The sequence below is a fragment of the Homo sapiens genome, chromosome 8 (genome assembly GCF_000001405.40).
Source record: "Homo sapiens chromosome 8, GRCh38.p14 Primary Assembly".
NCBI lineage: Eukaryota > Metazoa > Chordata > Mammalia > Primates > Hominidae > Homo > Homo sapiens.
The window spans coordinates 118,440,905-118,467,837 of NC_000008.11; the positions used below are offsets into that span (position 1 = coordinate 118,440,905).

At 39.3% G+C, this 26,933-nt stretch overlaps 1 protein-coding gene across 12 annotated transcripts in view; it reads right to left on the minus strand.

Annotated features, from left to right (window-relative positions):
• SAMD12 (sterile alpha motif domain containing 12) overlaps positions 1 to 26,933 on the minus strand; it is a 490,139-nt gene that overhangs the window by 309,080 nt on the left and 154,126 nt on the right. The window lies entirely within an intron of this gene.

A 26,933-nucleotide genomic window follows, 5' to 3' on the forward strand; every position in this document is an offset into this window, starting at 1 on the left:
GATCAGTGTTTGCCAAAAAAAGTAAGGCTATCATATTGGCAGCTGTTTGAAGGCTCCTGGGTGGTACAAGGACGTGGCCATTATTATCCCTGCTCTTCTCCATACGCATAATTTCCTTCCACTTCTCTATCAAATCTTTCAGATTAAGGCAAAAGGAGAGCCTTCATTTGGTAGGAGTGTGATTGTAACACCTGCTGACATGTGTGTTGTTGTTGTTGTTGTTTCCTTGACAAAGAAAGGGCTTGCTTCAGTCTCAGAATCTTAAAAAAAGGTAGTATATCTAGCATCTAATAACTTTTAAAAACTTTTTAGTGTATTTAAAGTTACCCTTTATTTTATGGCAAATAATTATGGCAAAATAAATTTTATTTTCTGTGGCAATATCTTCTTTGTTTTTTAAACAAATTTGAGTTTAAAGACACAACTATCCCTTGGGCCAATTTTTAATAAAAAAATAAAGAAACAATGGTGCAGATGGTGAGAGAGTCATAGTGAAAACAGTGGAAGTAATACGGAAGCGATTCAAGGTTGGAAAGCACAATGCTCAGGTGTTTTTTTTTTATTCGTATATTTCCAGTCATATGAGTCCTTGGGCCATTGCTTTCAAAATAATCACAATGCTGATCACTTTTTATTTTGTACTGTGATATTTTTCTTTTATTAATTGTGGTAGATGGTGTTTTCCAAAGATGATTTTATATATGTCCATATATTCATATATGTATGTTTTCATATAGACATATATACATACATATGTATCTGCTTTTCATTCAATGGGACTGACATTTCTTCCACTAATATGTGGGGTTGATGCTCCCTCCTACTCCATTTCAGCAGGGTTATGTGACCTTCCTGACCAATGTAGTACAGTGGAATTAATGCTATGTGACTTCTGAGGTTAGGTCATAAAAAAGAAACAGCTTCTGCCTGATTCACTCTCTGGCACTGACCTTTGGAAACCAACCACCATGTTGTGAGGAAGCCCAGGTCACATGGAGAGACCATGTGTAGGAATTTTGGTCAATTTGCCAGCTAAGGTCTCAGTTGACAGTCATCACCAACCACCAGACAAATGAATGAACAAGCCTCAGATGATTCCAGCCACCAGCCTTCAAATCTTCCAGCCAAGGCCCCCAGATACCACAATAGAGAGTCAAGCCATCTTTGCAGTGCCCTGAGTGAATCCTTGACCCACATAATCCATGAGCATCATAAACAGTTGTCTAATACCACTAAGTTTTAGGGTAAATTGTTTTGCAATCCTAGTAAGTGGAATACATGGTGAAGATGGGAGGGTGAGATCTGTTATAATTTTGTGTTCCCCAGAGTGTCTTGTTTTCAGTAGATCCCGTGTACATCCACAAGGATTAAGTGAATGAATTAATGAAATGAAACAGCATTCACAGACATAGCTTGCTATTTAATCAGCAGTGACTTTCACGTTCAGCCCTTGCTTCTCTACCCTGCTGTGTGTTATGCCTACATGGCTCCTAATCAAACATGCCTGCAGCCCTTCATACTGGGGTAATGGGCTGCAGCCATTTTCCCTCTAACATCTGTGGGAAACCATATTGACTTTGCCTAATTTTGATGAGAGAGGAAGACGTTGGGCATGGAGGGTATAAATGAATAAATGTTTTTATTGTTGATGATGTTTAGGTTTCTTTTTCTCTTTGCTCATCATCACCTCCTTTCCTTTGCACAACTAGGAAGCTAGAATTTTAGATCTTTTAGCTAGAAATCACTTACCACCATGTTTCACAAGTCAGCACCTCTGAATCTAGTTCTTTCCTGCTCTACAAATGTTCCTTCGGATTAGCTGAATGAGTTTATAGCTGACACATCATTACCCTGAAACTCTTGCAAGTAAAGCTAATCACATCTTTTGAAAACTCCTGTAAACCAGTCACAGAGGCGTAAATTAGGAAGGGAAAGGCAGAAAGATAAAGTTGCTTATACATCAATATATTAAACTTTTTCCTTCTTGGAAGAACATTCTTTAACTTGCTCATATCCTGGGAAAGGGAGGACGCTCAGCCTCAGCTGGGCTTCAGGTGGAGATTTACCCAAACACACTAAGTTGACTCAGAATGCATCCTCACCAGCCCACCATGTATGCTTTTGTTCTAAGTTTTCCTTTTATCATAAATTCAGAGATTCTGAGGTTAACACTCAAGGAGTTGCTTTGCTTTATTCTTCAGCATATACTCTTACTAGGCATATACTAGTAAGAGCATATACTCAAAACTTTAGGCATAGATTTTTAAGACTGTATGAGGCTGGGCACAGTAGCTCATGCCTGTAATCTCAGCACTTTGGGAGGCTGAGGCAGGCAGATCACCTGAGGTCAGGAGTTCAAGACCAGCCTGGCCAACATGGTGAAACCCCATCTCTACTAAAAATACAAAAATTAGCTGGGCATGGTGGCATGCACCTGTAATCCCAGCTACGCGGGAGACAGGAGGATCGCTTGAACCTGGGAGGTGGAGATTGCCTTGAGCAGAGATCGTGCCATTGTACACCAGCCTGGGTGACAGAGCAACACTGTCTCAAAAAATAAAAAACACTGTCTCAAAAAAAAAAATTAAGATGGTATGAGCCTACAAAAATGCCTCCATGTAAACAGACATAATAAGTAAAATGAGGGTAATAAAGATTCCTACTGTTTGTCTCTTCTTAATCAGATGGTAATAAAAGTATTGATACCATTTATCAGGTGATTCTCAGCCTTGGCATTTTAATGAAATTACTATTAGTTTGCCACACTTTAAGAGCTGTAATGACTCCAGTTACCCCAGTCTGCTGCTTCTTTTGGGATTCTCAGAGCTGACTTTGATTTGTTCTGCCTGAACTTCTCTTTTTGTAGCATCCAGGGTCAATCTCAGTTACTCCCCCTTCCATCAACATTTCCTCCATCCCCAACAGCTACCAAATGTTGGGAGTGAATGGCATAACCTGATTCCTTTAAAGAGCTTACACTTCACTTCCACGTACAATTAGAACAACAAGAAGTACATGTTAAACCTTATCACTTGAATTCAACATATTTTCCCACTGAAGGCAGGAAAAGAGAGGCAGAGCTGTCAATGCCTTCGACCGCCTCGTCTCCTTTCCTCAACATCCAACACCTACACTCTCTTCACAGCCATCCCTAGAGGATGACTTTCTCTGATATGCTGCTGGGTTTTTTCTTCCCGCAGTAGGGGCCTAAGCCTAAATAATAATAGTCCATAAAGCAAAGAAATAAAGCATTTCACCTTTACTAGAAACAGTAAGCTCATAAGAAAAAAACATCCTGCCCAATGGCAAACATTAAAAAAACATTTGCCCCAGTTCTTTTTCTCAATGTTCATGTCTACCACATCATTCTCTGAATTTACAACCCTGGAGACAATTTTGGTTTATTTTGCTGCCCTGAAAGAGGCCCGAGGCAGTTTGTTATCTTAACCCCTATGCATAGTGACACCAAGCAGAATTCCAGACATTTCCTTTCTGAATTGGTCCTGGCCTTGCTACAGACAATCTGAAAGTGAATTTCAGACGCTTTTCCTTTCTGATGCCTTTCTGTTTTACAGGAAGAACTAACTTTATGCAAAATACACATTCCTGAGAGAATGGTTGTTTGCAAATTACTTTTTTTTTTTTTTGGTAAATGATTTCTATTTTTATTTACTCATATAATAAATTCAGCTATGTTTTACAGTAATTCTGATTTGTATTTAACTAGAAAGAACTCTGAAGCATTCAGTTTTAAGTTCTCCAAGGTAAACTTGAAGCTTTTCTGCTAAGTAACAGAATAATTAAATGCCTTAAAGAAGGTTGAAATTGAAAGAACATATTGCAAAATGCCTTTAAAGTTAAATTTTTATTTTGTGATTCAACTATCCTTTAGCTTATCTGTTTTACAATATAAATTTTCTTTTAATTTACTGGGCTTTGATTTATAAGAGAACACTGCAATTGTAAGATCCCAATGGTTGTACAAACTCTTAACTAGGTGAGCCCAGTTGGTTGATTATCAAAAAATAGAGAATGCTTAGACTGTTTACATTCATTGGCAGGGCAAAGTGAGCTTTATGGCCAAATTTCAGAAAGCGGTTTAGTATATCATTATAAGCAAGTGTTTGCAAGCTCTAAGAATTGCCTATTTCTTCCCTTACTATCTTGCAATGTCCTTTCTTTAGTTCCCAGTCCTCTCTTTTATTAACTTTTATTGTGTCATTTTACTCAAGATTACAGAGAGAGAAAGAAGGAAAAGGAGGAAACACACACATACACAACAAACCATTAATGTCTACTTTAGCAGTTTTTAATGCTCATTCACCCAAAAAAGGTCACTAAATATCAGGAAAAATGGTTAGCTCATAGAATACTTGATATATGAATTAATTAATTTTAAAGTACTAATAATGTCTTCTTCTGTCACCTTAATCCTTTCATGGAAAGAGGTGGTTAGAAAATTTTAAAAACATATCTTGTCTATTGCATGCTGTTTCCCGAATGGTCTATAAAATCTACATATTAGGGATTATTCATGGGTTTGGACCTAAATATTTTATGACAGAGAAAACTCTTAAACTTCATGCCTCCTAAGGGGAAGACATCTCATGGCCAGAAAGTTAACAGGTAAAAGAAGAATACATATCCCCTTAGGTGAAAGAAAGATAAATATACATAGTGCATTTGTGTTTAACTGAAAAGAACTCTTAAACATTAAGTTTTAAGTTCTCCAAAATAGACTTGAACCTTTTCTGCTAAGCAGTAGAATAATTAAATGCGTATAGTGTTATTTCACATTCTTCCATCTTTAACCACTGCTTTAATATCACCTGGATTATTTCTTACTTTTCAAATTTTGATGCTAATCTCTTCTGATAGTATAAGAGCCCCTAAAGACCAGTAATGTGTAAGCAACTTAGATAACTTTTCTGAACATATAGTGAGGCATTATTAGTTTTTTCGTCTGTTCTGCACAGGGGATCTATTTTAGACCCTTCATTTCCTAGTCTTCTTTACTGGGAATTGTAGCTTATTCATATTTCCTTCAAAAGGCAGTATTCTCAATGTGTTGACAACGAAAACGGAATGGATTATCGAAGCCTAAATTTTTATGATTAACAAGTAACAGGTGTCAGTTCATCATTTGAAATCCTTATTAACCAATGTATTCGTTATTTTCCCGTATTTGCATAATTTACATAAACAAAAGCTCTTTGAGGTTCTTAAAAACTTTTAAGAGTGCGACAAAGTCCTGGGACCATAAATTTGAGAACCACTGTTTAAAGACATCACTGTTGTAGTGTCTTTTTTTTTTTTTTTAAAGGAGATAAGACTAGAGGATTTTTTTCTCTTAATTTGCCCACACTGAATATTATTAATGGACTTTAAAATTTCTAAATGCTGTGACCACAGACTCCAAAAGTTGTCAAGGACTCTCAGTAGTTAGTGGGTTCAAGTTTAAACCTAATGCAAGAGTCCAATCCACTTTAAGACATCTAAGATGGGGGTTAGTAAACCTAAATTATGATGAATATATCAAGGCTTGTGTGTGTAAACAACTTTACTTGGGTAAAGACAAAATGTCAATCTCCTAATTTAAAATGATTATTTTTTCTTTTCTTCTCTTTTTTTGAGCTACATAAAATTTGGAAAAACACTGATCTAGATTCAGCACTTTCCCAGAAAATCCACAGCATCCGAAAACGTATCCTATGAAATAGGCCACACCATTGTTAATAAACATTAATGCTTCAAAACGTACTTTCATATGGAAGTCAAAGTCAGATCTTCATCATCTTTTTACTGATTCTTGAGTTTTGCCTTTGGGTAAATGCAAGACAAATCTCACTGCCCACTGTACTAATCTCCTTTTCACATGTCGTATCAGGGCTCTCCATTGAGTCTCATGGCTTGTTTTTTGGTTTTCTTTTACCATGATGTAGGCTGAGGAATCCAAAACTATACCTCCAGCTCAGTTTTCTTCCTGAACTACAGAATCATATATACATATGCAACTGATGACTTCAGTTTAATTTTTACATATAATAAATATATCAAACTCAACATGTCCAAAATTGAGCTCCTGTTCTTCCCCCTAAAAATGCCTCATTTGTAGCCTACATTTCATATCATAGAAACTCTATGCTTCCCGCTGTGGAGGCCCTGCATCCTGGATTTTTCATAGACTTTCGTCTTTCTCTTGTACTCCACATATAATCTATTAGGGAAACCTGATAATTCTACCCTCAAATGTATCCAGATGTCAATCTCTTCATTACCAACATTGCTACAATCCTGATTGGAAACACTGTCATGCCACACCTAGATTCCTGCATCTATGTACTAATACAACAAACAGGTCATCCTGTTCTTTCCTTCCTTCCCCTCAGTTGAAATCTTTTTTTTTTTTCTTTTTTGAGACTGAGTCCCACTCTGTCACCCAGGCTGGAGTGCAATGGCGCGATTTCAGCTCACTGCAACCTCTTCCTCCCAGGTTCAAGAGATTCTCCTGCCTCAGCCTCCTGAGTAGCTGGGATTACAGGCACCTGCCACTACGCCCAGCTAACTTTTTTGCATTATTAGTAGAGATGGGGTTTCACCATGTTGGCCAGGTTGGTCTCGAACTCCTGACCTCGTGATTTGCCTGCCTCGGCCTCCCAAAGTGCTGGGATTACAGGCGTGAGCCACCGTGTCCAGCCTTCAATTGAAATCTTTAAAATGACTTACAAAGGCTCACTTGATCTAGCTACCCAGCTCTTTGATGTCATCTTTCATTTTATTTTTTTATTTTTTATTTTTAATATTTATTTATTTATTTATTTATTTATTTATTTATTTTTGAGATGGAGTCTCACTATGTTGCCCAAGCTGGAGTGCAGTGGCGCCATCTCGGCTCACTTCAAGCTCCGCCTCCCGGGTTCACACCATTCTCCTGCCTAAGCCTCCCGAGTAGCTGGGGCTACAGGAGCCCGCCACCATGCGTGGCTAATTTTTTTTTGTATTTTTAGTAGAGACGGGGTTTCACTGTGTTAGCCAAGATGGTCTTGATCTCCTGACCTCGTGATCTGCCCACCTCGGCCTCCCAAAGTGCTGGGATTACAGGCGTGAGCCACCGCGCCCAGCCTCTTTGATGTCATCTTTATTACTCTTTCCTTAATACATTCTGTTCCCACTACACCAGTCTTCTTCCTATTGCTCAAAAATGCCAACTATGTCTGTGTTTTTCTTTGCTGGAATACCCTTCTCCCAGATACCTACATGGCTAATACCCTCACTTCTTTCAAAGCCTTTGAGAATTGTTCAAATGCTCCATTTTCAATAAGTCCTATCCTGATCTCCCTGTTTAAAAATGCAAGACTCCCTTCTGGAGCTTCCTATACTCATTACCGTGCTCCACTATTTATCTCTCCATCATAAGTATCATCTAACACACTATACAATTCTGTTATTTTTTCTACTGTTTATTATATGTCTCTTCCCACTGGCTTGCAACCTGCACAATGACAAGGGTCTTTCTTAATTTGCAAAGAATCTCAAAATTTAGAACAGTACCTGGCACAAAGCAGGAACTCAATAATTATCTGTTGAACAAATGAAAGAACTGTCTGTTCCGCCATCATATATCACAGATCCTACATCCTTTGAGTGTCAGAAAACTGGTTCAGGTCCCAGCTGCGCTCTTGACATTCCCAGGTTGGGACTAAAACAGCCTTTCCTCCGATTAGATTTCTCCTATATTGAGCCAAAAATGCAGAGCCAGTCTAGCACTATAATTCTTAGCAAGACAGCTCACATCTCTGACCCTCAATTTTTTTCTTTTTCAACTGACACAGAGAGTGATGTGATAAAACAAACTTGGCATTTGGAATCATGCAGACCTGGGTTGAAGGCTCTGGCATTCACTAGCACTGTGGGCCTTGGGCTGGTCACTGAACCTTTCTAAACGTATTTCTAAATTCACTGCAAATAATACCTATCTTATAGTTTGTGGAAGGATTAGAAATGGTTTAACTAAAGTACTTTAAATAGTGCCTCCCACATATAATGTTTACCGAAAGTGTATCTTAATATCTCCTGAATAGCACCGGCATCCTCTTCTGCTGGATTCTCAAGCCTGGCTTGGGGAAGCAGTGGGGCAGCAGCATGGACACAGGCAGTCTTTTTTTTTTTTTTTTTTGAGATGGAGTCTTGCCCTGTCATCCAGGCTGGAGTGCAATGGCGTGATCTCTGCTCACTGCAACCACTGCCTCCCATGTTCAAACGATTCTCCTTCCTTAGCCTCCCGAGTAGCTGGGATTACAGGTGCCCACAACCATGCTCAGTTATTTTATGTATTTTTAGTAGAGATGGGGTTTCTCCATGTTGGCTAGGCTGGTCTCGAACTCGTGACCTCGTGATCCACCTGCCTTGGCCTCCCAAAGTGCTGGGATTACAGGTGTGAGCCACCGCACCAGCCTACAGAGGCAGAGTCTTTGGATTCCAGCCAACTTGAGCTGTAGGCATTGTGAGATGGTGTTAGGTATAGTCAGCTAAGATTGAAAGAAAAACAGTTGTTAAGAAAGGAAGAGGATTAAAAGGTACCAGTGAAAAACACAGGCATAGGAAGAGGACAAAAGTGAGAAAATAGGCCGGGCGTGGTGGCTCACACCTGTAATCCCAGCACTTTGGAAGGCCGAGGCAGGCACATCACGAGTTCAGGAGACTGAGACCACAATGAAACCCCGTCTCTACTAAAAATACAAAAAATTAGCTGGGCGCAGTGGCAGGCGCCTGTAGTCCCAGCCTGCCTCGGGAAGCTGAGGCAGGAGAATGGCGTGAACCCGGGAGGCAGAGCTTGCAGTGAGCAGAGATGGTGCCACTGCACTCCGGCCTGGGCATCAGAGCGAGACTGTCTCAAAAAAAAAAAAAAAAAAACAACAAAAAAAAAGGTGAGAAAATATAGAAAAAGGGGGAAAATGGAAAAAATAAAAATACCAAATTAAGAGGGGCAAAGGTATGTTTCTCTTTATTCAGGCCTGGGTTTGCTGCAATGACACGGTATCACCTTATGTCTTCCAGTGGTAAGTCCTGTCATTTATTTCTCTCTGAAACTCAGAATAAGCAGTCCTCTATTTCCAGGGACAGTCATGTACAAGGTGTCCCAATTCCATGCCAAAGATACAGTGCAGCTTCCCCAGGCACCTCATGGAGCTATTTATAAAAGCACACTATCCAGATGTGTAAATGCCACTGCTCACAAGCTCTGAAGCGGATGCTTGTATGCAACGCTGGTGAGATCTGCTGGCCCCCAAACACATGCTGCTGGGCATCAGGGTGTCTACAATAAAAACTCATAGAGGGAATAAGCAGATGTGCTCAGGCACTCAACAGGAAACAAGACGTCCTGGCAGCCTGGATGGCTCTGGTTATCAAGGCCTGTTCTTCCTATCAGCCCAGAATGCACAGCCTGTCAAGAGAAATATGGAGGGAGAGGATCACACTGTACTTTGTGTCTGCTCTGTCTTAGTACAGCAGGAAAACCTATCGCTCATCCACATAGATGAGCACACTCTACGGGAGGTGCTGTGACACAAAGGCAGATGTATGCCCTGAGCACATACCAAGGGGCAAATCCCTCTGTGAATGTTCGATGAATGAAAGCATGACAAAAGCAAAGATGAAAACAAAAACGAACCATAAAAATTGTTATTGATCATCATCATCATGTCATTTCTACAACAATTACTTTGGAATAACAATGTGGTAGATTGATGACAAAAAATGTCCTCAGTGCAAAAATGCCCCTGTGTAATATGACTAAAGGTCCTCTGCCATGAGATGGCATCTATTTTTCCACCTCTTGAGTCTGGGTGGTAGAAGGGAGCCATGTGGCTTGCTTTGACTAAAAGAATGTGGCAGAGGTGGTGATGGGCCAGGTTTCTGAGATATATTTCCAAGAGGCTTGGCATGCATTTGCACTCTTCTTTTGCTTTTCTGAAACCCTTCTGAGAACGTGTGTGGTCAAGCCTGACCAAATTAGCTTCAGGGATGTGGCTTAAAAGTATACTGATGCCATTCCAGACATCATGTTCGATATCATTCTAATGATATTCTTCCCACAAAACATGGGAAGAGTTGTCTTAAAAACTTTACGTAAATCATCTTGAATTTTCCTGACAACCTGCAAAGTAGGTATTACTGCTAGTAGAGAAACATGCTTAGAAAGGTAAAGTAACTCATCCAAGGTCACACCGCTAGTGAATTTCAGAACTGCATTCAGTCCAGGTCTGCAGTAATTTCAAACTTCATGCTTACGTCATGATAGCACTCTAATTTGATAGAAACAGGAGAGAACAATATGGATTAGAGATGCGAGCTATCTTACTGAGGTTTCCAGTGCTAGTTTGCTTCCTTAATGAATTAAGATAAACCTGATCAAAGATGACTCTGACTTTGTCCTAATCTGGGTATGCCAAAGGCAGAGCTGGGTTCAGGACCAGCCACATGACTCCAACTCAAGGGCTTTTTCTACTCACCTTATCGTGGAAGGAGGTGCATTTCCTGCACTATACAATAGGGCAATGCTAATCTCTCTGTCTCTCAATTATACCACTATTAAAGTGAGAAAATACCTACTCTGCCCATTTTACAAAGTGTTGTGAAGATCAAATCAAATAATCAAAAGTCTAAGTGTTTTATTTGGATCATTTTATAGAAAAGAGAGGGCTGATGGGCCCAAGGGATGTTACGGTCACCATGCTGTTGGCACTGTGTTAAAAACAGAAGCACTAGAAAATATTGCTGCAATTGTATTTAGTAGGGCAGAGTAGGGATTTGGGGGCTTGGAGAGCCTATGAACTCTGGAATCCATTACGGTAGGGGGTGGTCTATACAAAGTTTCCAATACTAGCATTCTTGGGCTTTAAAAGTTAGCCACCCCCAACCCCAGGTCCATGATTTCTTGGTGTTAAAACAATTTATCTATCTGTTAATTCAGCCAAATGATGAATAAATTGACAGGGCTGGTATGGACTGAATATCTCTGTCTCCCCAAAATTCACATGTTGAAGCCCTAAGTCCCAACTTGTATTCCAAGACAGGGCCTTTAGGGAAGTAATTAAGGTTAAATGAATTCATAAAGGGTAGTTCCCTGATACATAGGATTAGTGTTCTCATAAGAGACCTCAGAGAGCTCGCTCTCTGTCCACCACACAGAGGGAGGGTGGCCTCTGTGCAAAAGAGGACACGATGAGACCCTCACCAAAATCAAACCACATCGGCACCATGATCTCAGACTGCCAGACATTTGAACTGGGAGAAAATACATTTTGTTGTTTAAGGCACCCAGTATGTGGTACCTCATTATGGCAGCCAGAAGTGATTAACACAGGAGCAAACTCCAGTTCAGATGGACTGTTCAATTCAGACAAAACAGTCTGGCAATCTAAGATTGACAGAGCTTTGAAAATCTCACCACCAACATAGTGAGAAGGGGATAAGCTAGAGGTAAATGAATTATAATAGATTTTTTACTTTATACATATTCTTATACATTTGTATTTACTCTTCAAATACTAGGTTTCATACAATTAGAAAAAATTTTTGCTGAGAATTTGCCTCATTAGCATAATTACTTTTATTTATATAAACTTTTTCCAGAATCCATGTCCATGCATGTATCTTTACAACCACATTCCTAATAAATAATAATGGGCCCTCATTTGATTAATTATTTAAGCAATTTTTACACCTTTATAGTCATTCTATTATTCACTTTTTATCCTGTTTATTTCTAACCCTTTTGTTGATATAAAAGAAAGTATGCACATGGTTTTAAAAAATAAGTTATCCCAAAAGGCTCAGAGTAAAAAACATGAACTTCTTGTCCCATCTCTTCTGACTGGAAACTATCTTGTTTTCAAAGTATAACCCTAACATGGTCCTAACTCAAACATCTCCCTTCTCCAACTTCAGGTGCAATTTCCAGGGGTAACCTCTTAGTGGTTTATCTTATTAGTCTCTAATTTATCATATTCAAAGGATTATCCATTGATACCACAATGAGAATGATCAAGAATTAGCAGACACATGCTAGCTTCCTCCTCTTGTCTCTTCTTCTGAATGTCTGTGACAGTATTACTAATTTTAGTTCATCTATTATTTTTTAACCTTAAATGATGTATTTAAATCTATATGATTTTCCAAATAAGGTTTTAAAATTTTTTTCCTATAATTGTTCCTTGCCTTCAAAGTCTGACCTTCTGTCATCTACAATATTACTTTTATTATATATTGTCAAGGTTAACAGCAATATTTTCTATTCTAAGACCTCTATTTGGTCTGCTATGCCAAGTATGATGGTAAATTGAGTCACAGGTAAAAAAATCAATAAGTAGCATTTAGCTTATGATTACATATACTATTCCAATGCTGGGCTAATTAGTCTGGTTTGGATGATTATTTCTTCTATCACATTCTCAGTGGTCCAGTGTCATATCCACTAACAATCACAAATAAGTTTCCCAGCCTTAAAAGTAAATAGACTTTCTTTTTTCATATGCCAGCAGTTGCTTAAATTCATGCCACAGTTTAATTCATATTCGGAGCAAATATTCTTATGCAATGTTAGAGTATTTGGGGGTATTTATTTATCTTTGAGACAGGGTCTTTCTCTGTCACTCAGGCTGGAGTGCAGTGGTGTGATCCTGGCTCACTGCAGCCTTAACTTCTCAGATTCAAATGGTCCTCCTATCTCAGCCCCACAAGCAACTGGGACTACAGGTGCATGCCCCCATGCAGCTAATGTTTTTATTTTTTTGTAGGGATGAGGGTCTCACTATGTTGTCCAGGCTGGTCTCAAACTCTTGGGCTCAAACCATTCTCCTGCCTCGGCCTCCCAAAGTCCTGGGATTACAGGCATGAGCCACCATGCCTGGCCACTTTGGAGTATTTAATTTCATTTCTTTTTCTCTTGTTTTGTTGGTATCAATTTTTTCAAAGATTTTAATCATATTATCTATTTACCAAATTCCCTGTTTTTCCCAAAGATCTACCTCATAGAGTTCTCTTTACCCCAGATTACACTGGCTGCTCCCCAGACCTGCTACAAAGGGGCCATTACATATTTTCCTCCATTGCTGCCCTGGATAGATGGATGGATGGATAAACTGTTCCCTGGATCCCAATCTTCCTTTTTTCTTAGTTTACATCTTCTCTTTGCTGGAACATATTCATAAGCAACTTCCTAAGAAATGGTTTTGGGGGTAAACATTCTCAGTCCCTGCATGTCAGAAAAAGTCTTTATTCTACCTTCACATTTGATTGATAAAATGGCTAGATCTAGAGTTCTAAGCTGAAAAAACAATCCCTCACAATTTTGAAGGCATTGCTCCACAGTTTTCTTCCTTCAAATGTTGCTGTGAGAAATCCAAAGTAGCTTGATTCTCATTCCTTTTTTGATATCTTACATTTTTCCCCTAGAAGGCTTTAAGGACCTTTTTATTCTTGATATTCTGAAATTTCATGAGAATGTGCTTAGATATGGGTCTTCTTTCACTCTTTCTGAGAGGTAGTCAGTAGTCCCTTTCAACTTAAAGATCAAGCCTTGGTGAATCATGCATTATTAGTTTTTAAAGTATATTCCCTACTCTGTTTACTCTGCTCTCTTTTCTAGAATGTCTATTACTAAATATTGGATCTTTCAAATTGAGTATCTACATTTAAAAAAGTTTTTATTTTTAGTTTGGTAAAATACACATAACACAAAATTTACCATCTTCATAATTTTTAATTGTACAGTTCAGTAGTATTAAGTACACACTGTTGTGTAACCATCACCACCATTGATCTCCAGGACTCTTTCCATTCTGCAAAACTGGGACTCTGCACCCATTAAACAATAACTCCCTGTCCCCTTGTCTCCCCATTCCCTCTGGCAATTACCATTCTACTTTCTGCTTCTGTGAGTTTGCCTACTCTATCCTCATATAAGTGGATTCAGGCCATTCTGTCTTTTTGTGACTGGCTCATTTCACTCAGCCTATTGTCCTAGAGGTTTCTTTATGTTGTGAAAAGTGTCACCATTTCCCTCCTTTTTGAGGATGAATAACATTGCCTGGTTTCTCCATAGGAAAGCATCTTGGAAGAGTTGTATGAGCTAACTGAATCTGTTTCAGTAGCTCACGCTGTCTCCCCACACTCTAGCTGGCTTCCTTCCTCATCCTCCCACTGGACATGCTCTTGTCATGGCCACTGAGACACGCAGGTTGCTAATTCCAGTGTTACTTCTTCCAAGACTACAACTTCCTTCCTGTGGCCTCCTGGTAGCCTCTGACACAATGGAACACACTTTCTTCTTGAGACACTTTCTTCTCCTGGCTTTCACACCTCTCTCTCTCTCTCTCTCTCTCTACTGTTTACTCTGTTCTCCTTTCTAGAATGCCTATTACTAAACATTGGACCTTCCAGATTGAATATCTATATTTAAAAAAGCTTTTATTTTTAGTTTGGTAAAATCCACACAACATAAAATGGTTTTCTCTCTACCGCACTAGTTAGTCCTTCTTTCTTTGTCCCACCTTCCTCTTTGACCTAAATGGTATGCTTTGGGGTTTGGTTTGGGAATCCCTTTCACTTCCTATCTGTACTCTCTCCTGGGGTAGTTTCAAGTCCCACTGGCTTTAAATATTGTCAATAAATCAAATGACTCTCAAGTTTATTATTCTTTCTCAATATCTCTCTTTAATTCCCTCTCCATCTTTACCAGCTGCCTACTCGATATCCCACTTGGCTGTCCAACAAACAGAACTTTCAAACTTAACACGCTCAAAACAAAATTCATGACTTCCCTCAAATCTGCTCTCCCACCAGTTTCTACATCCTGGTAGATCCTGACGAAAATCCCAGTAATCATCCTTATACATACATACATCATACATATATACATACATACATGTACATACAAGACTGTGGGGGTATACCCAGAAATATCTTTAGGATGCACACATTCACTTCTACCTTTATTCCTTCCACCTCATTCAAAGGCAACTATTTCTCACCTAGACTCTGGCAATAACCTCCTATTTTCCAAATTCCACACTTTCCACCTACAGTCTATTGTTCACAGCACAATCAGAGTAAACTTATAAATATGTAAACCTGATTGGGTCCTTCAGTGGCTTTCCTTTGCACTTATAATAAAATCCAAACTCCAAGCCTGCAAGGCCCTCTCTCCTAATGCATCTTCTACTCTTCTTTGTCATGGTCTTGATGTTCCAAGAATAAGAGAGTCCTGTTCTTTCTGTTCCTCTAACATATACAGCCCACCCTTACTTTAGGGTGAGTAATGAAAGCTAGCTCTTTTCTCAGATGTTCTTGTGGCTAGCTTCAGCTCATCATTCAGATCTCAACTTAAACATCATTTCTGCAGGGTCGTCTTCCTTGATCATGTAATCTTAAGTAATCCCCAAGATGTTTTTAACACATCCCGTCTTCACTATATCCCTTATGGTGATCTGATATTTTCCTACACCTATTTACTACAACATTCTCTGCACTTAGCACCTAGGGGGTTAATGAATACTCTTTAGAAGAATGAATTATACAATAAGTATGGAGCTCTCTCCATTGTCCATAATGTTTCCTAATGATATATACATTCTAGAAGCGAGAGTACAGAATAAAACCTTTTCTCCATGTATCTGTTCCTGTTCCAATTTTATAGTAGAGCAGGGTTTTCACGTCAAGACAAAGGTGAGCAACTTAAAAAGCCCAGGAGTGGCCTTGTGGATCTGTATTAAAATATAGGAATGTGTCTGCTCTGTCTCCATTCATTCATTCATTCAAATATATTTACTGGATACTTGTTCAAAGCCTAGCATTGTATTAGATATGGAGTTTAGTGTGAATAACACAAAAGAAGCCTTTCTGTCACTGTACACTTTTTATTCACAAGTGTGAGCTAAACAGACCAACAAATCTAATAAGGAAGTTTGTATGACATCACACACTCAGCCTGACTCTGCTCAAATGGCATTCCATGGATCTAGGTTTGCAGCTTGGTTTTTCCATTCACTAGCTGTGTTACTCACAAGCAGGTAGCTTAATTTCTCTAAGCCTCTGCTTCACCATCAAGATAAAGGGGATAAATACATTTATCTCACATGTTTGCTATAAGAATTCAATTAGAAAATAAATGTAAAACATTCTGTTCAGTCCCTGATACTACTGACAATTAATGATAATTAATAAATAGTATTCTTTGCCATTACTATTTTGTTATTAGTCTTCCTTCTGGTACAGCTGCCACTTCCACTACTGCTACTAACTCTCTCTCTCTCTCTTTTTTTTTTTTTTTGTTTGCTTTTTAGAGACAAGGCTTACTCTCTTGCCCATGCTGGAGTGCGGTGGCATGATCATCGCTCACTGCAGCCTCAAACTCCTGGGCTCAGGGAATCGTCCCACCTTAGCCTCCTGAACAGCTAGGGCTATAGATTCATACCACAACACCCAGATTTTTTTTTTTTTTTAAATAGAGACAGGGTCTCACTATGTTGCCCAGGCTAGTCTTCAACTCCTGGTCTGAAGCAATCATCCCTGCTACTAACATTCTTTTATTGAAGACATATGGGGCAGGTGGAAATCAGAATTAAAATGTGTTTTTAGAAATATTATGTCGGCAGCTACTTAACAAGCCAGACTGGTTATTTCCCTGGGGCGTAATTCACTCAGACCCACAGGAAAGCAAAAATGTGTAGGATTTGATGGTTCCCATTTGATAGCTCCTTTCCAGAAAACAGTATGAAAAGATAAGAAACACTGTACAATATCCTGGTCATTTCTTTGGCCTGGGCATGAAGCTGGCTCTTATTATTAGAAAGATAAATGTCAGCATCCATGCTGATGGGGCACAAATATCCAATTAAACATGAATCCCAGCTCCCAATCAGCACACACATGTCTTGGCCAAGTGGAAGCACTTTCATTTGCTCAGCCTTTTCTTCCAATATGACTTGTCCTTTGGGTCTTTGAGGGTGACCGGCCTCCTCTAGGGAGGATCATTCAGGACCATAAATAGAAATCTGGAATCTCACTGAGCAATACTCACTTGGCTCTTGAATTCTATTTGTGGAAATGAAATCTTGAATCCCATGGAAGTGCTTAACAAACCAGAAGCAGAAAAACTCTCCCATTTGACAAACATCACCCAGAGTGCATGTGAATGAACAATGACACTAAAAGACACACCACAAATGCAGTTTTCCTACTTAACTAAATCACATTTCTCCACAAAACACCATCTAAAATCCTCTTTCACATTTTCATCCTTTCTAGCTCCCGTTTTTTCTTTTTAATAAGCTTCCCTTTTCATTTTTTAATTCCATTTCCATTTTCCTCTTCAATGTAGCCAGGTTGTTAAATTAAAAACACTCATCTTCTGTCTTTGCATGCACATTATTTTCCATTTCTATTCTGGGGTCTAATTTTGATCCTTTAGCCATTTGACCTTCTGAACAGGTGCAAAAGAAGGCTGCAGGTTCAAAGGTGTATCTTCTGCACTTCTTGACCCCTTTGATTTGAAAGCACATTACCTTAATAATAAAAATATCTGGGCTTCACATTTGATATACAGATCAGAGAGAATCAAGTGCAGGACATTTTTCTGATGCTTTAAAGAAATGCTCAGAAAAAGATTCCAAACTCATTTTCCACTGATTCTCTGTTCCTCCATTACATTATTTTTCTGTACCTTTTACTCATCAGCGAAGTCATTTGGGATTTCAGAGTCATTTGGGATTATTGATTATGAAGCAGCAAAAATCTTTCACACTGCAAGCAAGGTAATGCCAACCTCTATTTTAGCTAGCTTTTCAATCATATTATTTCTACTTATCAAATGTATTTTAGGCCATAATTTGTTTTAGAGTCAAACTAGTTTTCAAGTTACTGTTATTCGTTCAAAAGTGACCATATAAAAAGTTGAAAATCTGTAGATTTAATGTGCCTGACACTTAATTTCATGCTGTTTGCCCCATTGTTCAAAGCAAATAGTAAAGTCTTCAGCTATATATGTGTGTGTGTGTGTGTGTGTGTGTGTGTGTGTGTTTATTCAGTTCATGACTTCAGTTTTTACAACGTTAATATATTGCTTTTAAAAAAAATCTGCTACCCAGGAAAGGTATCAAACAATTGTTTTTTTTTTGGAGAACGAGTCTCACTCTGTTGCCCAGGCTGGAGTTCAGTGGCATGATCTTGGCTCACTACAACCTCCGCCTCCCCGGTTCAAGTGATTCTCCTGCCTCAACCTCCTGAGTAGCGGGGATTACAGGTGCCTGCTACCACACTTGGCTACTTCTTGTATTTTTAGTGGAAACGGGGTTTCATCACATTGGCCAGGCTGGTCTCAAATTCCTGACCTCAAGTGATCTGCCCGCCTCAGCCTCCCAAAGTGCTGGGATTACAGATGTGAGCCACCACACCTGGTCTCAAAGAATAATTTCTAATCTATCACATTAACTTTGCAGTTCCTATTTGCAATGCATTCTGATTTATAGGGTTAAAATATTCAGTGGCACTTCTACATTTTCTTCATGTTCTACTTTAAAAAACTACTTCCAAGTGAAGGAATGGACAGAAGGGTAGCATTAAAAGCAGGTATACGCCACTGCATCTTATAATTCAAATGATTTCAAAGCCACTTAAAACAAGCAATTACTAATAACTATGGATGACTATTTGGGGTCAGGTACATGCAAAGACTTTTGAATTTGTTTAGTAAGTGGCCCCTACTAACTCCTAAGAAATTTAAAAGAAGAAAACTTAAAAATGATGACATTTTATTATCAGGCAGAAGACAAATGGTTAGGTACCGTTCTCTGTAGAATAACTAGAAGATTCATTCACTTTATGTAATATTTCATCAAGTCTCCACTACATGCAAGGCACTTTGGGATACACTGGTGAGAAACACGGACAAGACACTTGCCCACACATGACTTACATTCTAACACAAGAGCAGACACTAAGGAGCCAACAACCCAGTGGTGACAAGTGCCATGGAAGGCAATAAAACCGGGTGATGAGAAATCCCAGGACCAGAACCAATGGGAGAGGCACTGTAAGGGGCTGTCTATTTTAAAATGAGGTGGTTAGGGTCACTTCCTATCACAACTACACATTTCTATTAAAAAGCTTCTACTTCCAATGATAATATGGCCTCTGATCTGTTCTGAATTCTAATACAGTATTGTCCTTCACAAAGGATCCATTCCCTCTCCTACTATTCTTTTTCTTCTATGAATTACTATAATTCACATGGTCCTATAACCACATAATTGTCATGTCCTATAATCACACATGGCATTGTACTGTTTGATGGGTAAAGTATAAAAACCCACCATTAAATGGAAGGAAGGTTCATTTATTCAATTTAATTCATTTATTTAACATTTATGAAGCACTTACTGTTTGCCATGAACCATGCAATTTGCTGGGACACAAAGATGAAAAATCAAGGCTTGGGGCTTAGAGTCTCAGAGAGACAGGAGGAGAGAGAAACATAATTTTAGGTAAGAGGAGTGAGTATACAGTAGAATTGCAAGGATAGAGAAAAGTATCAGATGATTTGGGCACCAAACCTACTGTCTGCACAAGTGAATGTGAAATGCAGACATGGAATCAGGGAGGAGATAGACAAACAGGGTATCTCTAGGACAGAGGTGCATGAGAATATCAATGCAATAAAAACAAGAAATCACAAAATGGAGAGAGTTGGAAGATGGTGAGAGGGGAACATTACTGGAGGGAGAAGTGCAGAGGAGAAGGGCGGAAAAAGCTGGAGTAGAGCAGAGATGATGAGACCATGAATAGTGAGACAGTTTGGCTCACATATAACAAGGCTGCCCACATGCACACACACAGGTGTTCTCTCAAACTGTGCTTGGCTGGGTACTGGTGATGCAAGGATGAAACGGACCCATTTCTATGGTCCCGTCTGGCAAAACTGACATGACGGCACCAACTTACCTTCTCAGCTACATCACTCATCACTTTCTCGGAACCATTTCTCTAGCCACCAAAATGCCTGCCCCTTTTCTGCCTTTGCACATAATGGTTTACCTGGTTAGGATGTCACTTCCACCTTCTTTACCTGGAGAATTCCTGCACACTTTTCAAGCCTCAAATTAAATATAACCTCTATTAGATGATTTCCCCAACTCCCTCTGCCTTGTTCTCACAGTTCTTGGTAACATTCTCCAATTAGAGTGCCTTTCCCAGTTAGGCTTAATTATTTGTATAACTATCTGCTCCAACACAGAACCCTGAGTATTTTGTGGGTACACACAGTTCTATCCATCATTTCCATACTTCGCATGGTCTGCCACATAGCAGTTGCTGATTATATAAATGTTTGCTTTATACAATTGGCTATTCTAGCAGTCCTTTAACAAAGGTTCAGATAGCCAAGACAGAACACATTATACTATGGATGTTTCAATTAATATTTTAAAAATTATATATGGTAATTCTTGAATGTATTCTCACTGTAACAATTTAAACAACAAAGATGTACAAAGAACCTCAACACTCTTTTCATGCTATACTCCCAATTCCGTTCTTCTCAGCAGAGGTAGCAACTATCATGACTTTGAGGTAGACATTTAGGCACATTTTCTTTCCTTTGTATTTTACGTATGTACATACGTAAAATAGTTTTCTATGAGTCCAGGCCATCTATAAATACGGGACAGTACTTTTCAACTTGTTTTTACTTAATAAGTTTTAGCTATATTTTATATCTTGGAACATATAGATTCACCTCCTTATTTTCAATTGATGCATAATGTTCACTAGTAAACAGAAACGTGCAAAGAAAAACAATCATTGAGTTTTCACCTAAGAAATATGCAAGCACTGAGAAGACTGAGAATACCCATCGGGGAAACATGCTCTCTGTTAGGCTAGTTTTGCTTTATTGAAGGGCAAATTAGTGTTTTTCTAAAAGTTTATAATGTGCAATTCTACTTTAAGGCCTCTATACTGTAGAAACACAGGCACATATGTTTAAAAGGACACTACAGGCATGCATTGCTATGGTATTTTCAAAAAGGAAAACTTGGAAACATCCTAAATGTCCATAAGGACTTACTAAATGGTAGAATACCTGCATTTGATTTTGTCAGTTTTGGGTACATGGCATTAAATGATTCTAATTTTACTATAGTCCCATGTCTGTTCCTTCCTAAGCCTCCTTTATTTCAAATCTCTCTCATTCCTAGTATTTTCAAATACTACAATTCAGTATTATGTGCACATCTGATTATATGATTCCTTTAAAGATGTTACTTATTTCCAGAGATTTTTAATAGCCTTGTCTTGCTTCTTTTCCTGCACAAAGTAAAGGATATGGTTATTCTGTTAAGCTTGCACACATCTCTCCTTCATTTTGACACCAAACTTGAATTTGACAAGACAACAGTAGTTTTTGCTTTATTATTAATAATAGGCATGTGCTGAATGTCAATTATATTTAAGGGACTGTGCAGGGGATAGTGGTAACACACACAGATACACCATTCAGTTTCACACAAGCCGGATACTCTGATTCTGGCAACCATGGATCATTAAAAAGGAAATAAGCAGAATGTTTGTGTGTTTGTTTACCTGTCTGTTCATATATCCATCCATCTGCTGGCTAGATCAATGCAGTGAAAGATGGATCAAATAGAATCCTCCACAAAATCAAACTAGGAAAAAAAGCAAGGAAGCAAGCAAGCGAACCTGACACCACAGCTGAAAGTAAGGATGAGAAATGAGGACCATTCTCAAAATCCAAAGCACAGAGGCCAAGGACCACATGGGAAGACATAAAGGCAATTTCTGGTTATCCCCGTGTGCTAGGATAAAAAGGTTAGGTTCTATAAGAAATAGATAAAAAGTGGGCCGGGCGCGGTGGCTCACGCCTGTAATCCCAGCACTTTGGGAGGCCGAGACGGGCGGATCACGAGGTCAGGAGATCGAGACCATCCTGGCTAACACGGTGAAACCCCGTCTCTACTAAAAACACAAAAATTAGCCGGGCATGGTGGCGCGTGCCTGTAGTCCCAGCTACACAGGAGGCTGAGGCAGGAGAATGGCGTGAACCCGGGAGGCGGAGCTTGCAGTGAGTCGAGATCGCGCCACTGCACTCCAGCCTGGGCGACAGAGCGAAACTCCGTCTCAAAAAAAAAAAAAAAAAAAAAAAAAAGTGAAGGAAAGTGCTGAACCCAAATAGAATCCTCAACTGGTGTGGGGAATGGATGGCTTCTTTCCAGACCAAGAAACTAGAACTTCCCAGGTGGTGGGGCTAGAACCTTGAACTCGTTGGGGTGGGGCTGACCCAGCAGTAGGGAATGGGGAGAAGTCCAGGCAGGCAGGTGCAGCATAGCTGCTAGGCGCATGGTAAGACGCCATGACTCAGGCAGGTGTTAGGAGATCAGGAGTCTAGGATCAAGACAAGGATTCATCCAGGAATCACAGAGAGCACAGCAGTGGCACATGTGACATTCAGCATCGTGTGGGAAGTTGAGCAGGTGGCGAGTGGGCAGGAGAAAACCGGGCTCCCACTGCTTGGCACAGGTTTGGGGAAAGGACCTGGGCTCTGGGAAGGTGGGACAGGCACCAAGGCAGGGCTCTCCCAGCCTTGCAGGAACTGGAAGACGAATGGGAGAATCCTGATGAAGGGGAACAGAAATTACAAGTACCACGTTACAAAATGGGGCTAGGCTGCTCCAACAAAGGCTAAGCCGGAAAAAACCCAGGTGGCAAAATCTGACTCCTGATGAGGGTCCCTTAAATTCTCTCTGATTAATGACCAACATCCCACACGCTTGGCCTGGGTGGAACCTTTAAATGTGGTCAAATGGCTTCAGCTGGGGGGGATCAGACGGCCTTCAGCACAAGGGGGCAGGCAGGTCATCATACTCAATTACTGGGTTTGGCAGGAGGAGGAGGGAAAAGTATGGTTTTGGCAACACTGCTGGAATTATAGGGCCTTAATTAGATTACTGGATCAACCTCTGACTCGCAATGAATGTCCTTAGGGAGGTCATTTAATCTCTCTGTGAGACTATGTCTGAGTTTCCACAACTAAAAAATGAAAATAATATTTTAGAAGCAGCTTACAGGAGAAGCTCATAAGAGCAACAGTGTTGCTAAAAGGATTAGGATTTCAGCTGATCCTTCAATTATATACTGTCCTTTACCTTCTGGCCTTGCAAAAAATAAATAAATAAATAAACAAAGGCTGGGAGAAGTCCCCTCATATAACCATTGTAAAGAAATGCACTTGCTTTATATTTATATAGCTGATGCGGCTAACTTTGCTAAACCTAAACTGGTTGTGTTGCAAAACAGTGTAACATGACTGAGTCATTCGCTTTCAAGAATCTTGTAAATGAGAAATGGCAGGGGCAGAGTGACTCTATTTCCACTCGCCCACGACAGTTGGACCAGAACCACCAGAGAACACTTCAGAGAAAAGATGGGTCCAGGAAAAGCGTATTATAGGTTGACTGTAGTCAGAAACTTATTTCTCATAGTCAGGGAAATAATTAGGTCAACTAAAGAGAGCTATTTATACTTGGGAAAATGGTACTAATTTAAACCTAACCAGTGGAATGCTGACTATTTCACTAAGAATAATATGCTTCTTCCAAAAGTCAAGAAGGTAAAGAGAAAGCCTTTTGAAAGTAGCATAAAGGATACACAGAAAAAACTCTATTTGTTATTATTTGGTTTATTTTGAGCAAACATAGTTCCTGTTACAGGCTCCTAGTGGGCCGTCCCCTTTAAAATTCAACTCTTTTTTTTTTATAGAGACTAAAATATTTGGGCAAGATTTGCCAATGAATTTCTAAAATTGGGGCTAATAATCAATTATAAATGGAGGATATTAGCCACTCAAAGATTTATCCCACCATAAGAAACAGTTTGGAACTCCTCCCAAGTCCTATTGAAATGGTCTGGGTTATACTCATGAGACTGCAAACATAAATTAATAGATGCTATACTCTGCTGTGTTGTCTTCACTAAATGGTTTGGTCTTTGTGGAGTTGAAGCAGAGGCAATGTGCATGGTTTTCAGTGCCTGGTCCAGAGGAGGTTCTCCATGCCTGCAGGGTAAGTGATCCCTACAGCCTTAGTTGCAACCCTGGCTGAAAATTAGGATAATCTGAAGAGTTTCTTAAAAGGAGCAAATATACCCCAATCTTAAAATATACCCCAACCAAATTAAATCAGAATCTCTGGGTAGGGTGGGGGAAGAGGGAAGGGAGGAGCTGACCCAGGAGCAATGATTATACTTCACAGCCAAGGGTGAGAACCACTGAACTGGGAAGTACCTTCAGATGGTGAGTGGAACTCATAAAACTTGATGTCTTCCTAATACGATTACTCAACTTTTTTTTTGCTCTGGTACCATGATGAACAAGCAACATTTATTTTATTTTCTAGGTTGACATTTTTTATAGGGGCTAAAAGAAGATGATCAGCTAACCCAAGGCATCTGTCTGCTTGCCAGTTATTGTTCTCATTTTAAATCAATAAAAGGGACTTCTCATTTGTCAGTTGTCTTCTTGTTATTCTCAAACAGTCCTGCACAGTCTCTAGATCTGTTTAATTATATATGACTTCGGACACACACACAGCAAAGGGTAAGACATAGATTTCTCATGACCCTGTCAAGGGCTGCCCTTAGGAGAAGCTATGTAACAGCTTTATCTCTTTTACCAAACTTTAAAGGCAGTTATTTTATGTTAAATGGAATAGTTTTTTTTTAAATTATGGCAAACAATTACATACAAACAAGATATGACGGGCAAATTCTTGACTGCCTTAGTATTCCATGCATATGATAACCATCCATCCTGGCTTACACAGGACCAAGGACATTCTTGGAATCTAGGACTTCGAGTTTTAAAAGTGAGGCAGTCCTGGGGATACCTTAGGGAGCTTCTGGGACTCAAAACTTTCAACACAAAATCCATCTGGGATTAGTTGGTCATCCTAGGTATAGCCCTAGTTTCTCAGATGGATCTTTATTTTCTTTTTAAGAGAGGCTTCATTGATCACCTAGTGGTAACTAAAAGGAAACTAGCATATTAGATGAGGAATTGAAGATATTCTCCATCTCACATCTCATCTCAAACAAATACTCTATTACACTCATAACTAACACGTAGCATAGTGTTATCACAGATGAAATCTCAGTATAGGATTAAAAACACTCACAGTTCAGGCATGGGCAATGTAAAAGAGAAAAAGGAAGTCTCCAGGCAGGTCCAATAGCCTATAGAACAAGGAGAGGCCTTGAACCAGGCCAGTCAGCTGGATCCAGTGTATGGGATCAGGAGCCAAGACAAACTTAAAGCCATGTGGCCACAGCTAACATTTGTTGAGTACTTAGCACATGCACTATACTAAGACACTTACGAAGACTATATGATTTAACCACAACTCTATGAAATAAATATAATTACTATATTCATTTTATTACACTACATAATTATATGTAGTTAGTATATTCATTTTACATAGGAGAAAACTCAAAGCTGTTTAGGGCTTTTATTCACCCTTATTCACTTCCTCCATGTCCAGCCTATAGTAGGCATACCATAAATAACACAAAAGTATTAACTACAAAAAACACCCAAGTGGGGTAAGTATAAATATCTTAAAAGACAATTTAATTAAAATCTTTTGCTTTTTCAGGTATCTTTACAAAATGGCTGACATCTATTTAAGCAGGTCTGTAACCGACCATCCTTTACAAATTACTTAAAGATAAGACGAGAGAAGGATTCATATTAATATTATTAGCCTAACACTCAAGTAAAGTGAAACTACAAATGATGTGTTCTGGCTAGCAGTAATAGGGAGAGAGAGAAAAAAAAATACGTTGTGTGTTAAGAAGGAAAATTAAACCGAAAATTAGATTCCCTGCCCACAAATTTTGACAAATCTTAAAGGAAATTAACCACTTTTCACTTGCTTTGCTGATCACAGAAAGCCTCTGACTCCACTTGACATAAGCAAATAAAGATGGTAACACTTGACATGTAATTCTTGGCTCACTTAATTGGATTGCTTCACAAACCATTTTTGGTAATCAATGATTACTAGTAGTAGTCACAAAAGAGGATAACAGGCAGCTGGGAACAGAAAATGACAGGACTGCATTTTCTTGAGTATCTATTCAGAGGCAGTGGTCCAGCCATGAAATGATTCTGCCTCCTGCCTGAACTTCTTGTTTATACAACTACTTCTGGACCCCCTTGGACCCTCATGACCAATTATAGTTTGGGGATGCTAAAGTCAAACTGCCTGGGTTCAAATCCCAGCTTGACACCTACATAACTCAGAACAAATCTTCTTAGTATGCCTCTGTTACCTTTGTAAAATGGGAACAATTGTGCTATCTCATAGGATTGTTGAAGAACTAAGTGATATAATCCACGTACACTGCTTGGATTGATGCCTCCCACATAGAAAATTTTACATGAATGTTTATTTTTATTATTGCTTTTGTTTTATATTTCAAAAGCTGTGCTACCTCTACTTTAAAGTTAAGCCCTCTGATCCAGATTCTGTTAGAAAAGTCATCTTTTGTGCACCCCTGCAGAACATGTGGCCATGATCTTTGCCACAACGGAAACTCAGCATAAAATACACAATAGCAAGATGTCTGGACAGCAGTCCTTTACTTTACAAGCTTGTTAGATATCGACTCTAGGAAAGCCTTGGGCTTGGCACCTCCTAATCAATTTGGAGACTGGCACAGGTCAAACGTGCTAGTTAGTAAGGATCTGTTTGAATCCTGCTCTGTCAATTATGGTCTAAGACAAAAATGCGGAGTAGATGGTACCCAGTATGTTGATGACAGGGCCAATCAATTTGTGACTTAGGGTGGCTCTTTAGATT